This window comes from Homo sapiens, chromosome 15, assembly GCF_000001405.40.
Source record: "Homo sapiens chromosome 15, GRCh38.p14 Primary Assembly".
Classification (NCBI taxonomy): Eukaryota; Metazoa; Chordata; class Mammalia; order Primates; family Hominidae; genus Homo; species Homo sapiens.
In genome coordinates this window covers 88272953-88287951 of record NC_000015.10, presented here as the reverse complement: position 1 = coordinate 88287951, position 14999 = coordinate 88272953, and the positions used below count along the sequence as shown (strand labels likewise).

At 48.8% G+C, this 14999-nt stretch overlaps 1 long non-coding RNA gene across 2 annotated transcripts, besides 2 other annotated features; it reads right to left on the bottom strand.

Annotated features, from left to right (window-relative positions):
* Window positions 1-7968: 7968 nt before the first annotated feature.
* LOC105370957 (uncharacterized) lies at window positions 7969-10781 on the bottom strand. 2 transcript variants are annotated; one of them, XR_932588.2, is made up of 4 exons: window positions 10701-10781; window positions 9743-9773; window positions 9035-9104; window positions 7969-8428 (listed from the first exon to the last, which is right to left on the bottom strand). It is a non-coding gene; the product is annotated as an uncharacterized LOC105370957 (long non-coding RNA). The 2 variants fall into 2 exon arrangements; XR_932587.2 differs by lacking the exon at window positions 7969-8428 and having other exon boundaries at window positions 9021-9104.
* Window positions 12400-12900: an enhancer, noted in NCBI's record as "H3K4me1 hESC enhancer chr15:88818283-88818783 (GRCh37/hg19 assembly coordinates)". NCBI's record gives its function as "activates a minimal SCP1, AML or CMV promoter by ChIP-STARR-seq in naive H9 embryonic stem cells {active_cell/tissue: H9 hESC(naive)}" and the evidence as "EXISTENCE:reporter gene assay evidence [ECO:0000049][PMID:30033119]".
* Window positions 12901-13401: an enhancer, noted in NCBI's record as "H3K4me1 hESC enhancer chr15:88817782-88818282 (GRCh37/hg19 assembly coordinates)". NCBI's record gives its function as "activates a minimal SCP1, AML or CMV promoter by ChIP-STARR-seq in naive H9 embryonic stem cells {active_cell/tissue: H9 hESC(naive)}" and the evidence as "EXISTENCE:reporter gene assay evidence [ECO:0000049][PMID:30033119]".

Below are 14999 nucleotides of genomic sequence, written 5' to 3'. Positions count from 1 at the left end.
AGGAACAGAGATTTCTCGGTAAAACTCATGTTCGAAACATAACATTTTCCCCAACTCCTCCTCTCTCTCTCTGTTCATTCCTCAGAGGTTGCTGCTGAAGTCTTTCTAATGCCTCTGCCTTGGCCTTCGTTCTGTTCCCATGGCCTTGAGTGAATACCTAGACCTGCAGGGCCCTGCAGTAAGCTTCCAATAGGACCCTTTTCTCTTCTCGTGCATCCTTCAATCCCCTGACTGCCTAGGGTTTCCAGAACCTGCCCCACTCTTTCTCACCTGTGCCTTTACTGACAATCCTCCTGCCACCCTGTCCCTCTCGCCTATCTCATCCCTTTTCTTTATTCCAGGCCACATTCTGCTCTTCCCATGAGGTCTCTGTGGACTGCCCCCTCTATCAAGGTCTCTGCTATTAATTTGCCAAGTCTGCCACCTCGATCAGTCAGGCTGGGCAGTGTGGACTGCGATGCATTACCACTTACTCACTGTGTGATATAGAACCAGGCTTTTGAAAACTTTTCTGAGCCTCAGCTTTCTCATCGGGAAAATGGAACCTACCTCATAGAATTATTGTAAAAAAAATCCATGATATAATATATATACAAATTCTAGTGGCTCGAACTTGTAATCCCAGCACTTTGGGAGATCAAAGTGGGTGGATCGCTTGCGCTCAGGAGTTTGAGACCATCCTGAGAGACATGACAAAACCCTGTCTCTACAAAACATACACAAGCTTACTCAATCTAAATTTTGGTGGTGGCATGTGACTGTAGTCCCAGCTACTTGGGAGGCGGAGGCAGGAGGATTTCTTGAACCCAGAAGGTCAAGGCTGCAGTGAGCAGAGATTGCGCCACTGCACTCCAGTCTGGGCGATGGAGTGAGATCCTGTCTCAAAAAAAAAAAAACATTCTAATACTGTGACTGGCACATAGTAGGATCTCAATTACTAGAGGTTCCACTCCCTTTGTGGACATGGGCCATTTCTTCAATGAGAGTTCAAAGCTCTGGAGAACAGTGACTGAATCCGATTGTATCTCTGAGTTCCCAATGCTTAAGCATTTGATAAATGTGGTTTGCAGTCTCTGATCTAGCTCCTGTCTACCTCTCTGGGACTTTCTCTCATTGCTTCCTCTTTTCTTTACTCCAACAATCCTGAAACTGCCTGTCATCTTTCTAGAGAAGGTTTCACAGTTTCTCAACATTGGTACTATTGACATTTTGGAGTGGAGGCTGTCCTGTGAATTGTAGGCTGTTTAGCCGGTGGCACCCCCAAGTTGTGACAACCAAAAATGTCTCCAGATATTGTCAAATGTCTCCTGAAGGGCAAGATCACACCATGTTGAGAGCCACCATTGTAGAGCTTTGCAGAGCTTTTCTCTTAGAATTTTATGCTTTTCTGCATGCAGTTGCCTCTGCTGAGCACTGACTTCACCTGCTCACCTAGTGAACTCTTAATCACCTGTTGAAGCCCAGGCCAGATATCAGTTAGTGGGAGAAGTCTTCTCTAATCCCCACAGAGGCCCTTCTAAATCCCACATGTTTTCATGCTTCCCACTCAGCCATTCTTCATCAAATCACATTGCCATTGCCTATTTTTGTGTCACTGTCTTATGCATTATAATTTGACCTCTTGAAAGGCAGAATTTGTGATTTACTCATCTCTTTATCTTTAATACATAATCTAGGGTGTAGAATACAGTGGGTGGTCAAAATAATGAAGAGAAAGATGGGTAGAAGGCTAGAAAGATTAATGAATGGTAGATAGATTGATGAATGGGTGGATGGATGGGTGAGTTGATAGATAAATTTGTAGGAAGGTAAATGGGAGAGCAATCGCATGGAAAGGTGGGTAGAAGGATGGATGGAATTTACAAATAAATTAATAAGTAGAGGAATGAATAGATGTGTGATTTGATGGATGAATGAGAGGATAGGCAGATGAATGGGTCAATAGAGAAATGACTGGGTAGATAAATAAATGGGTGGGTGAGTAGATAGATGGGTGAGTAAGTGGATAAATAGATGGATGAGTGAGTAGGTGGTGGATGGGTGTGTGAGTGAATGAATATAGGTGGGATGGATGGAAGGATGGGTGAAATTTATGACGGAGTCAATGAATGCATGAATGGATAGGTGTGTGGTTTGATGAATGGATGGGAGAATAGATGAATGGGTGAATGGATAGATGGATGAGTAGACAGATAAATAGGTTGGTGGGTAGACGAGTGGGTGGGTGGGATAAATGGATGTATAGGTGTGTGAATGGGTGAATTTCTGAGTGAATTAACCCTTTCAAAAGATGAAAGGAGTTTTTGAATGGGTGCATGCATGGTTGGAATGAAGATAAATGGAACAATATATGAACAAGTCAGTGAAGAATAGGGCACATTTTCCTGTGCTTATCTCTTCATTTAGACAACCTGGAGGGAGAAACTGAGTTAGAGGGGTGGGGACATCCCAGGGGTCTGGAATTCTGAGGGAACCCAAAAGTTTCCTTCCTTTAAAAATCGCTCTTACATTGGGTTCCGACAGGCTTTTTTAGGAGGGGGTTTTGGGGGTCCCATTTTAAAAATGGAAATTGAACAATGTGCAAGTCAAAGTCATTAGGTGTGGAACTCAGCTTTCTAACTCCCAGTCTGCTATTCCTTGGGAAAGCATGCCCTACCTCTGCCACTGAAGCTCAAGACAGGCTGGCCAGGGACTGGCAAAGTCTTAGAGTTGCCTTGAGGGTTAAATTCCTCAACACAATGTCTGGCACGTGGAAGCCACTCAATGAATGTCAATTCCACTGAGAGACTGGGGCCGCAGAGCCATGGGGTGTCAGGCCAAGGACAGTCTCATTCTGGATTAAAAGGAGACAGAAGCCTCAGGGCTCAAGGCTGATCACCAAGAGATGGAAGGGTGCGGAGACAGATTCTGGAAAGGTCAGCCACAAAGAACACTGCCCAGAGCTGGAACCAGGGAGCCTGAGCTGGATGCCAGGGACTAGAACTGCTGGTGACAGACTCTGCCAGCACCACCAGGCTCAGTAGCCAGAGCTTCAGGCTTAATCTGCCTGAGTCAGCAATGCAGGACTCAGACCCGTATGCCAGGCGCAAGGCTCCCTGGACCCAGGCAAGGAGGAGGGTTCCTAAATTAGAATCGGAGTGCAAAGCTGGGGTCACACCTCAGAGCAAGGGTCAAGTGGGGAGCTGCTGCAGTCGGCGCGCCGGGGCGGCTCTGACAGGCTGGTGAGGAGCCGCCACCTTTGCCTCTGTTTACAGAAGGCAGACTGGAGACCTGTGACCCGGACACATGGCTCAGTGGGGGAACCTCACTCCCGTGGGGCCCTCGGGGCATGGAGCAGAGGCCCATTTAGCTTCTTGCAGAGAGAGGGGGTGGGGGGCAGGGTGAAGGAGGAGAGCTGCAAGGGGCTGGGCTGGGGGACAGGCAATTAAGGCTGCCTGAGCTGCCAGCAGAGCTGATGCACGCCCTCCCCCTTGCGCTGCAGAGAGGGCCCCTTCCTTCATTAGCTGCTAAGCTGCTCCCCATCTCTAGCACCTCGGTGTGGCCTGGAGAGGCAGGGATGGGCAACCAGCCTCAGGTGGCATGGGAGCTGATTAATAAAAACACACAAAGATGAAGGCTGTGCCCACTTCCACTCAGCCAGCTATCTCAGATATCCAAGGCTCTTCCAGCCCCTTTTCTTGAAACGGTTTCCTTGCCTAGGGTCAGAAACAGGCTTGTGGACTCCAGCCCTTTGGCCAGAACCTGAGGCATGGTGGGAGGGACATTAGGAAAGGAGGGAAGCCCCAGAGGTTCCAGTTTGAATTCCGTGACAATGCATATCTGATTGGTAGGGCGTGTTGGAGAATTGAAGATAATTTTGAAAAACAGCTCATATTTTTGAGGGATATTCAGGTTCTCTTGTACCCCTCTGCATATATCATGGTTTAGTCAATTAAGTACAAATGATATTAATAGAGCCCTATGCCTGGGGTGCTGGTGCCCTGACAGGCTGCACCCTGGAAGGCAGGTGAAGCTGGGCAGGGTGCCCTTGAGTCCTAGAGCACAGGCACACTGGTTGACTTTGCAAATGCTGGCCACTGCTCACTTGAAGAGGGTAAAAAGAAATCTGGCACGATCCAAGGAAGCCTGGAAGTTTCCAGAACAGGGGTGGTTGCTAGGTTCCTGTGGAAACTTTGGCTGCAGCCTAAACTTGAAGCTCCCCATCTGTTGGAAGATGGGGGACACTCTCTGGACTCTGGATGGATGGATGGAATCTGCCTGGAATATGAAGATGGCTCTGTGTATCTGTGCAGCCCCTGAGGGAGTGGGTGTGCGAGGCTGAGTGCCAATTCCTCCCTCTGAGGCAGCTGCCTGCGTAAGGGTCCTGGCTCTAGTGGCTGGGCTGATGCATAAAGAACTGGGCCTTGTGGTCTCTGTTTGAGGTGCAGAGAATCTCAGAGTGGGCAGAGAGCTTGGAGACACCTGGCTCTTCCTCTCCATTTTATAAACTGGGAACATGGATGCCTAGTATGGAAAATAACCTGATGGTAATCTAGGAAAGCTAAATGCAGAGAAGAACCTTATCCTGAGACTGAGGTCCTGAGAGAAGCTGGGAGCCCCCTAAAACAGAGTGCAAAATTATCACAAACGTGTGCATTTTCCTGGAGAATGGTTCTGGGGAGTGTCTACACATCTGCAAGGTGCCCAACACCAGAGCTGGTTAGAATGACTCACCTAACAGTGGAGCACGGGACGGAGGTGTGTTCACTGGCACGAGGATGGAATGAGGTTTGGGGGGCTGGGGGTTAGGTGAGCTGCTACCAGCCTCAAAAGGGAAGGGAAAGGAGGCTCTGACAGCACCATCATCCGCTGTGAGCCCCCTCTAAACAGGCCTCCACCTGCTGTGCCCCCCACCCTGACTTCACTTTCCTGAAGGCATGCAAGACCCCAGATGAGGAGATGTGTTTGTGGCCAGACCAGAGCCCTTTTGTTAAGCAAACACAGCAGCCCTCCATTTAGCAGAAATAGCTCTGGAGCAAAGAGAGGGAGGGAGTGTGTCCACAAACCCATTTGCCGTTTAGGTGTCAGAAATAAATTTTACCACTGGAGTCTGTAGCATCTGATTAGTGAATTATTCAGTTGGGATATTGCGTTCCCTCTGACCTCATTAGTAACCCTGAGGTGAGAGGGATGCATTAGAGTAACCACCAGGCTGTCACGGAGGAGCAGAGTGGGGGCATTAAAGTGGATTAAAGTGCTTTACCAAGAACTACGGCACAACTCATAAAAACAGGGCATTGTTAAACCAGGGCTCAGCAAATAAACAGGCAGACGCCACTGGGGAGGGGGAGGGGAGGGGAGGACAGCAGGGCAGCGAGGAGGTGGGTGAGGGGGCAGAACTTTGTAGCAATGTTGGCACTTCTGCCTACCAGCTGATGGCATTGGGACCCAAGTCTGGGGAGAGGGTGCTCCCTGAGCCCGGCTTAGTTGATTTTTTTGTGTTATGCCCTTTTATATACCTTCCATGGTTGTCCTTTTTGCCCTCTTTTGCCACTGGGTCTTAAAGTCCTGTAGAGTTGACAAATTTAGAGTGAATAAGACCTCAATGAGTGTCCACTGTGTTTTGGTTTCTAAGTAGGAGTTTTCCATTTTAATAAAACTTCTTTCTGCCTCCCGTTGATAAAGTAGTCAGCTAGCGGAAGGGGTGGCTGCCTTGACACCTGGTTCCCCAGTGCTCCAGTGTTCCTATCTACCTCATAGAAGAGAGCTCCCATCCATGCCTGGCCCCTGTATCTGGGAGATGTGCCAGAGGATCAGGCTGATTTATGGATCAAAGAGGGCACATTGGGTGGGTGGGTGTGATCTTTTGTTCCTCCCAAGGAATTCACATCCCCTTTGGGAGACCCATGGGGCTTTTTGCACTCCATATAGCTCTTAGCCCTCACACCAAGCCTAGTTGATCAGACGTTTGGGTCTGTCATGCTATGGAATGAATGGGGACAGAAGGGGAACACCAGAGGGACAGCCTGCTTCTGCTTATCCAAATCAAGGGCTCTACAAGCCTCCTGTCCTTTGTTTCAGGGGAATGGAACCTGTTGCATAAACCTTAACGCAGAGGAACTGTGTCTTCCTCCAAGGATGGGTGGATTCCACAGAGTCTGATTCTGAAAGCTGATATCTAAACAGTTGTTATGAAAATACCAGATCCCAGCAACTCATCTCTATTTCTCATGGAACCGCCTTAGCAGGACCACTGCTCACTGAGCTAAAGATATTGAGGACTCCTCCTTGCCAAGGACCAGAACACAGTTGGAGGGCTGCAACGTTCGAGGTCTGGATTTAGCGGCAGAGATGGAGATGGGGTTGCTGAGAGCACCTCCTCTATCCTTTGTTTGGGGATGGGGCTCTGGGCTGGAGTTCAAGGCTGTCCCAGGAGAGCCAAGCCCCAGCTAGTGACTGGTGTGTTTGCAATTGTTTGTTCAGCAGCAGTCGCAAATGGATGCTAAAAGGCTTTGTGGTTCATTGATGGTCATGCTCCTCTCCATCCCATTCTTCATCCATTTCTTGGGCGAGCCGCAAACTCTCCACTGGCAGCCCCTACCACTGCCCTCACTTGGCGCTGGGTCCTAAATCCTGCCTGCTCACGGCCCTCTGCCTGCCAGCAATCCTGAGGGTGGGTGCCCTTGCTCCAGGTCCCGTATTTTGAAGACCCTTGGCAAGGCCAGGGCCTTGCTGGCCTTCTCCTCTGCTCCTGGCTTTCTGTCTGAGCTCATAGAAACTGGGTGGTGGGTCCATATAGCAGCTGGTATAGTCCAACAGAATAAATGGTTTATTCAAGACATCCACCAGGAGCTTAATCACACAGAGAAAGGGGCCATGGAGAGGAGTTGTTTGGAGCTCCATTATCATTTTACTTGGGATTTGTGGCCCCCCCAGTTTGGGGTCCAGTTGCTGATTCTACTTCAAAGGCTGGATGTGAAATGACTGTGTGGGTGGAGAACAGGAACCCCCATTTAAAAGCAAAAACATATTCTTCACAACTTGGCATGGAGGCAGGGGAAAAGGAAACGATGTCTTTTTGTTTGGTGGTGCCTTGAGATATTATATTAATCTGTGCATCTGCTGTGGCATGGGTGAACCTTGAACATTATGCTCAGTGAAAGAAGCCAGCCACAAAGGACCACGTGTAGAATGAATCCATTTAGATGAAATGTCAGAATAAGCAAATCCATAGAGACAGAAAGTGGTTGCCAGGCACTGGGGGTATGGGAGTACTGGGGAATGATGGCTAAGAGATATGGAGTTTTTTGGGGGGGGTGATGTAAATATTCTAAACTTGACTCTAGTGATGGTTGCACAGCTCTGTGATTATACTAGAAGTTGCTGAATTATACACTTTAAATGGGTGAATTGTATGGTATGCGAAGTATGTTTCAATAAAACTGTCAAAAATAAGCTACACATCTTTTTCCCCCAGCGGGTGTTTTTCCCTTTTCCTTCTCCCACTGAAGTAGGTTACCTGACTCTGCTCCTTGCCCTAGGGGAGAGATGGTAGAAATTGTGAAAAGTCTGCCTATCTCATAGGCTTTTGTGCCTCAAAAGCCTAAACCATTAGGCAAAGTTAGATGCATTATGGAGGAGGTGAAAGGAAGAAGAAAGAGATGCTTGGGTATAAATATAGTGTCATGGAAAAACAAAAAGGAAAACGACTCTCCACAGTGGACTGGAGAGAGGATCCCCAGGCAGGAGAGATGAGGAGAGATGCGTGCAACCTCCAAATCAGTGTGGACTTATGCCAGGGAGGAGGCAAGACCTCAGACAGGTGTGTCTGCATATTGATGCATTGGGCAGACAGGATGTTCCACGTACAATTGATGCATAACAAACCACTTCAAATTTTGTAAAGCAATCATTTTATTATGCTTACAGACTTGGTGGGTCAGGAATGCAGAAAGAGGCCATTAGGAATGGCTTGTCCCTACTCCTTGAGTTCTCGGAAGGGTCAAAGGCAGGGAGTGATTTGCTGGCTGGCCTGGGGCTGGAATCACCCATAGGCTTATTCACCCATATGTCTGGCAGTTGCTGCTGGCTGTCAGCTGGGGTCTCAGTTGGGACTGTCACCTGGAACCCTGCATGCATATTCTTTATGTGGCTGCTTGGGCTTCCTCATAGCATGGAGGCTTAATTTCCAAGAGCAAGCATCCCAAAAGAGCCAGGCACAGCTGTATCTCCCTTTAGAGTCCCATAGTGTCACTTCTGCTATAGGCACAAGACTCTATCTCTTGATGGATGAAGTTTCAAAGTTATATTGTGAGAAGAGCATGTGGGATGAAAGATATTCTGGCCTCTTTGGAAAATACAGCATGCCACATGGGATTATAGATAGCCTTGAAAAACGGTCCTTAGTCTCAAGTACTGTGCAGAAGAAGTAGTGAACCATCAGACCTGCCTGAATGAGCCATACAGAGAAACAGTGAATGCTTCAAGTGTAATCTGAGTGGACAGATGGCCAGCAGCATTCCTCACACCGTCTATCTCCCCACCATGTGTTGGCACAACTTAGAACCCAGGAACCCTGACCTAATCCCAGGGAGTATGGAGGGCAGGAAAGCCTCAAGAAGGACTAAGATCACATTTCTGCCAACCAGGCAAAAGGAGGCTCAAGATTAGAAATTAGGTAGAGTTTTGGAATGCACGTTTGAAAATATCTTGCACACTTGGAGCTTATGGTGTGAACTTTGCACTTGTTCTGCATTCATTCATCTCTACAAAGATGGAACCAAGGAGATAAGGAACAAATGTGTAAACATGGAGGCAGGATGAAGTTCTAAGTCAGGCTTCAGGCCTCCCCAAGTCTCAGGTTACTCCCCGGGCATGGTGAGATTGTATGATGTAGGGTACATGACGCATGGGATGCCCGCATGGGATGCCCTCATGGGATGCACGCTACAGCTCCGTGCCCGAAACATGCTGAAACTCAATGCACACGAGCCATTGTTACTGTTCTTTAGGCCAAGCACTAAGGCGTCAGTCCCAAGCTGGAGAGTGGCCTCACCTGAGATAGAGAGACTCCTATTCCTTCCCCCAGGGCCTCTGAAGGTCGTGCAGAATCACTCATCTCTTCCCTGTCATGTGAAAGCAACCTGATTATGTCCAGGTCATTGGTTCTCAATGAGAGGTGATTTTCCCCCTCACCCCAGAGGACTTTTAGCAACATCTGGTGACATTTTTCATGTCACAACTGGGAAGGAAGGAGGGTGCTACTTTGGCATTTAGAGAATAGAGGCCAGGAATGCTTCTAAACATCCCACAATGCATGGGACAACCCTACAACATGGAACTCTCCAGCCCCAAGTGTCAATAGCGCCTGGGTTATGAAACCTTGGTCTAGGTGTTCTCAACAAGAAATAGATCTTTCAGGGAGATTTTAGAAACACTTGCCCCCTTTTACTCCCGCTGTCCGAATGGCATCCCCTACTCGTGTTCCAAGGTGGTGACTATTTTTTCACCATATTCCAGAAGGAAGTCCAGCCAGGCGAAGTTGGTTGAAAGTACTAAATTTGAGTCTGTGGGTGATTTCTTTTTGCCTTTCGCAATCATGCATATGCTACATACAATTTTTTTTTGTTTTTAAGGCATCATAAAATCTGCCTTCCTTATAGACCAAAAAAGTTATCCGATATAAAAGTGAGCTTTATATATGAGAAAGGTATGATTTCTCGACAGGGAGAAGAATGGTGAGACCAGGGTCCAGGTTACTCACCTTGGGATCGGGGATGATGAGTCTGGAGAAACTGAAAAGAAAAAGTCTGGAATGAGTCATTGATTTTGGTTACAAGGATTGTCAGAAATGAGCAGTCAGAAGAGGCTGAAAGTTAAGTTTAGGAAGACAGAGGCTTTCAGAAAGGAGACTGGTTGACTGGGAAAGGCAGGCAGAGTGGTTCTTGGGCTGTGTCCAGAAGGGGAGACAAGAGGGAAGATTGGTCCTAAAATTTATTGGATTTATTGGGAGGAGAGGTGGGTGAGGAAGGGGTGTGAAACTCAGTTTAGACCTAGAACTTGGGAATGGACTTGGCTTTCTTGGGAATCAGGGGATCTGAGAAGAAGAAAGAAAGGCAAAGAAAGAGGAATGAGAGGGAAGGATGTGAGGGGAAGAAGAGATAGAAAGGGCAATAGCACCTGGGAATGGAGAGGAAGCAAAGGGGATGGAAGGGAGGAATGGAGGCTGCCGGAGGAAACCCGAGCTCCTTAGGTGCTCCAGCATCTCCTGTCCTCCAGGTCTTTCTACAAGTAGCTATTAGCATTGTGCCCCAGACTGACTGGCAGGGGGTAGTCTGCTTGGCAGGCCCCCTAACAGAAAGGGCACAAATGGAAGTAAAGGTGGAAAGAGCAAAGGTGTGGGGTCAGGATCTGAATACTTGGAAGGAAGGTTTGAGCCCTTGGAAATCTGAGCGTAGGGAGGGTGTGAACTGGGAGCTTCTTGCCCCGCCAGGAGGCTTTCTTTGTGTTCAAGGATGGAACTGTTTTTCTGTGTGACAAAGACACACATGGCAGAACCCACAGGCGCTTCCCTTCCCTCCCTTGGAAAGCTGTTGTCAGAAGCCCCTATCTGTCTCTGGGAGAAGATGGGCAGGGGGAGGGAGTGTGTGCAGCGGGAGGAGGAGTTGGGGGGAGGGAAGGCGGCTTGCTCTCCTCCCTGGCACTTGCTATTTCGGACCCACCAAAAGTCTGTTCCTCCTAGGTCTCCGCTCAAATGCAAGTGACAAGACTCCTCGCAGCGATCTCTTTACTTAACCCCTTTTGCTGGGCCATCTGTTCAGAACTCGGATGTATGCTTCTCCTCGGAGCAGACATCACATTATTCAGGCTCCTTCCCTGGCACAGGCTCTGTCCTTCACGGCTGCCCCTGCCTCACACAACAAAACCCAACCGCTTGCTCACGTCCTGAGTGACAAGGATACTTGCAGGCCTGTGGGCGAGTGGATCGCAGTTGAGCAAAAAATACTGGAGGCCTGGTTCCCTACTCATCCTTCCCTCAGATTCCAGCTTATGTCTCAACTCCACTGACTCCCCCGGGCTGGTTTTTAAAAATACCCCTCCTCTGTGTTCCCATGGTGCCTCGTGTTTCTCTCTCATGGTCAGCAAGGAGCTGGGGCTGCCACACCCTGATCCTTCCAGAGAGTCTTCAAGGGGCCTGTCCTACCCCCCTGCCGGTTCTTCAAGCTCCCACAAAGCTTCAACAGCCCAGGGGCTTTCCATTAGTCTCTCTTTCACTCCTAGCCCATCGCCCTTGATAAACCCATCATTCTGGTAGACTTTCTAGAGCAGTGCTGTTTGATAGAACTTCCCACAACTATAGAAATGTTCTCTATTTGCACTGTCCAATGTGGACCCACTAGCCATATGTGTCTACTGAGTCTGTGAAATGTGGCCAGTGCAACCAAGCAACTGTACTTAAATTCTAATTTAATATAATTTTAATCGACTTAAATTTACATAATCCCACAGCAGCAACAGCAGCAGCAATAGCACCTGGGAACTGTTGGAAATGCAGAATCTGGGGCCTCCCTTCAGACCTTCTGGATCAGCATGTCTAGGGATGGGGCCCAGCAATCTGTGTTTTAACAAGCCCTCCAGGTGGTTTTCATGCATAGTGAAGTTTGAGAAGCACTAATTTAGGGCTGAATGCTTGGAAAGCCCCAGCTCCCTTTCTAATACCTGCCAACCCCATCACCTGGAGCTTTGGAGAGCCAGGGTTTTGGAAGATGGACCCAACTTCCTTCTGGGTCTCTGCACTAGTCTTGCTGTCCACCTCTCAGGCAGAGAAGGCAAAACTGGCCTTGGCTGGTGTTCCTCGCACACCCCCATAGCAGGCATCAGGCTGTGGGAAGTTCTGAATAATGAATGCTGCAGAGAGGGGTGCTGGCTTTTTCCGTTCACTCACTGAGCGCCTTCCCTAGTGGGTGGGGTGCACAGTCATCACCCACCCCAAGAGCAATCTTCTCCGGGTGAGAACAGGCCCCTGCCCCCGCCTTTCCTCCCTCACCCACGGAGGCTGGGAGCTGGCTGGGGGAGGCTGCTGAGCCATGCCTTAGAATTTATTCCAAGCAAGGGGATGCAGCGTGCTCAGCGACGAAGCCGTCAAGGTCTTGGTTTTTGTTTTTTCCTAGCCAATATTTATTGAGCTTATCTTCCAGGTACTGGGCTAAGTGGTTTGTGTGCTTACTCTTTACAACAGTTCGATGAGGTGGTTTCGCCATCCTTATTTTTCAGAGGAGCGCAAGGCTCAGAGATGTTAAGTGACTCGCCCAAGTCAACAGCTGGTGTGTCTGATTCCAAAGCCCAAAATTTTACCTGAAGCTCCATGTGCTTCTCCATGGGCCCCTGTTTGTAGCCCCTGAAAAAGGAGGGAGCGTGGACTATCAGGGATGTCAGCTTCTGCCAGTGCCCAGGAAGCTATCTTTTAAGCAGAAATCCCTGAGCCAGTGATTCAAAATTGAAGGATGCTTAATTGCAATTTAATCTTACATCAGGAACTCTATATGTGATTCATGTAATATCAGCTTATGCTGAAACCCTCACCTCTGTTCCTTCTCCCTTTGTCTCTTTCCAGTCTTCATGGCTGTCTCCCGACTAAGACGAGCTGGAGCTGAGCTGGGCACCAAGAAGGGTGTGTCCTGGCTCCAGCTGCAGTGCTGGGAGCAGCCCTGGGCAAGTGCCGCTCGTGGAGGTCAGAGGGCTGGGAGGAGCTGCCTGGAAGCACCTGGGTACAAGAAGGGTGACATTGTCTAGGATGAGGGCAGCCTCAGCACCTGACCTGCTGGGGCCGGAATGTGACTCCTTTCTGGGACCTCAGGTCCTTCTCCAGGAAGATTCCATAGAACCCTCCAGCATCTTCCGTGTCTCCACTGCTTGGTTCTGACTGTCATTCACTGTGCTGCTGTCCCTTTTTGACCTCTTTCTCAGGCCCCATCCTGCTCCGCCCTCTCAGCCTGCCCCTCAGGCTCCAGGGCACAGATTCTGTCCCTGTGTCTGCCTGCTCCAGCTGGCTTTGTGGCCTCTTGTTTCCTTCAGAGTGTCTGTGTCACCTTTGAAGTTTGCCCTCTGCCCTTGGGTGGCGAGATGGGGCTCCAGGGTGATAATCAGGGTGTGAAGGGATGCAGCATCCAGGCAAGGCGTGACTGCAGGAGCCCTGGGGGAGAGGTGGCAGCTGGACCTTTGCTTTTCCTTCCGTGGCCAGTAGGTGGTGCTAGATGCCAGCCAAGGCCCATCTGGGGCCTTGGATGTGCAAACTGCAGCCCTCACTTGCAGCAAAGGGCTCAGCTTGCCACCCAGCTCTTTTGGGAGAGATGTAAGGAAACACAGACTTGCACGCTGATTCAGGACACTGGAGGGGATGGGAGAACTCAGTAGTTTCTCTTCACTCAGGCTTGTGGCCCTTATAGGTTTGTTCCCCACTAGGAATTGGAAACAGGTTGAAAAGAGAACCTACCTTACCTTTTCCTCCCCAAGGAGATTGGAGGAACTGGATTACAGGCACTTGTTTCCACCTTTGCCCAAATATCATCTCTTCCAAGCAGGGGTTGACCCTTGCCTGTGGGCGCTCATGACAAGTTTTATTAATGCTTCACCACACTGGGGGCACATTATACGTGACAGAAGCACTGTTTCCATGGCTGCCTTCCTCAGTAGACTGTCAGCTCCTGGAGGTCATTTTATAATCACTTCTGTATCCCCAGTGCCTACTCAAGGCCTGGCGCATAGCATGTGCTCAATAAATGAGTTAGCAAGTGAATGAGTCAATGGAGAGATGAGCTCAATAGTTTCTACTGGCTGTAAAGAGAATGTGCTATCTTTCTGTTTGGAGATCTTTAAGTACAGAGGTAGTCCCTCTGCTTAAGGATTTTAGGGATGGCCCAGTGGAAAGGATGAACATTGAAGCCTTCTTGAGGCCAATGCCGAATTCAGAACTTCACACATATATATGGAAGGTGCTTATTTTCCTTTCATTTGATGAACATTCACTGCATGCCCACAGTGGACCAGGTACATCTTTCTAAGTCAAGAAACTTCCTCATGTCTGCAAAGAAATCTTCCCATATCTACAAAGAAGAGGAATGACATATAGCCTGGACACTGGAGCTCAGGGACTTTGGACTTAGCTTCCAGGCATGCAGAGCTCGGGAAAATGGTTGGACTTTTGGGGTTGACCAGTCAGAAAATAAAAAAGGAGCTCTGTTGGGCAGGACCTGGGCTGCTGGGCTCAGTGTGCAGAGAGAGGGGATGTTATCTAGGCAGGGAAATGAACAAGCATTGAAGTAACCTGGTTGGCGGGGGCGGGGGGTGGGGGGGGGCGTTTGTTCCTCTAAAACTATTTTTCCCTGCCTAAGACTCAAACTCTAAAGAATGTGCAGTTTTATTGAGAATAAGCAGGCTAATCAGATGTGCAGCTGACATGGAATTGGGAAGGGTTAGGTAATTCTGAGGATCCCTAAAGATCTGTACAGACAAGGATGGAGGGATGAGTCAACAAGGCACCGTGTAACAGGGATAAAAGTAAAGTTCTGCCCCAAAAGCCAACTGGATTTAGGAGGCATGGCTTTAGAGTTATGAAGACTCTAGGGCTTCTTAATGATACGAGTTAGCCATGGAATGGGAGGGCCACAACAATAAATTAGTGTTGCAAGAGTGTTTAGAATAAGGGTCTGAGCTGCAGTCGGCTCTGGTTAACCACTCTTGGAAGGTTCCATTCAGTTCTAGGGAACTTTATAAGGATTCAATGAACATCAGTTTGTGTTGAAACCCTGATGCCTGTTCCTTCCCCCTTTGTCTCTTTCCAATCCTTATTGCTATCTCCCAACTAAGAAGAGCCAGAAGAGCTGTCTTTTAATACATATGATGTACTGAAGCAAACACTGAGGGAACAAGCCCAGCAAGGCGAAGACTCAAAACCAGCTCATAAGAGAAACCATTGAAGGAACCAGAGCTCATTACCCTGGAGAAAACAAGGCATGGGGCAC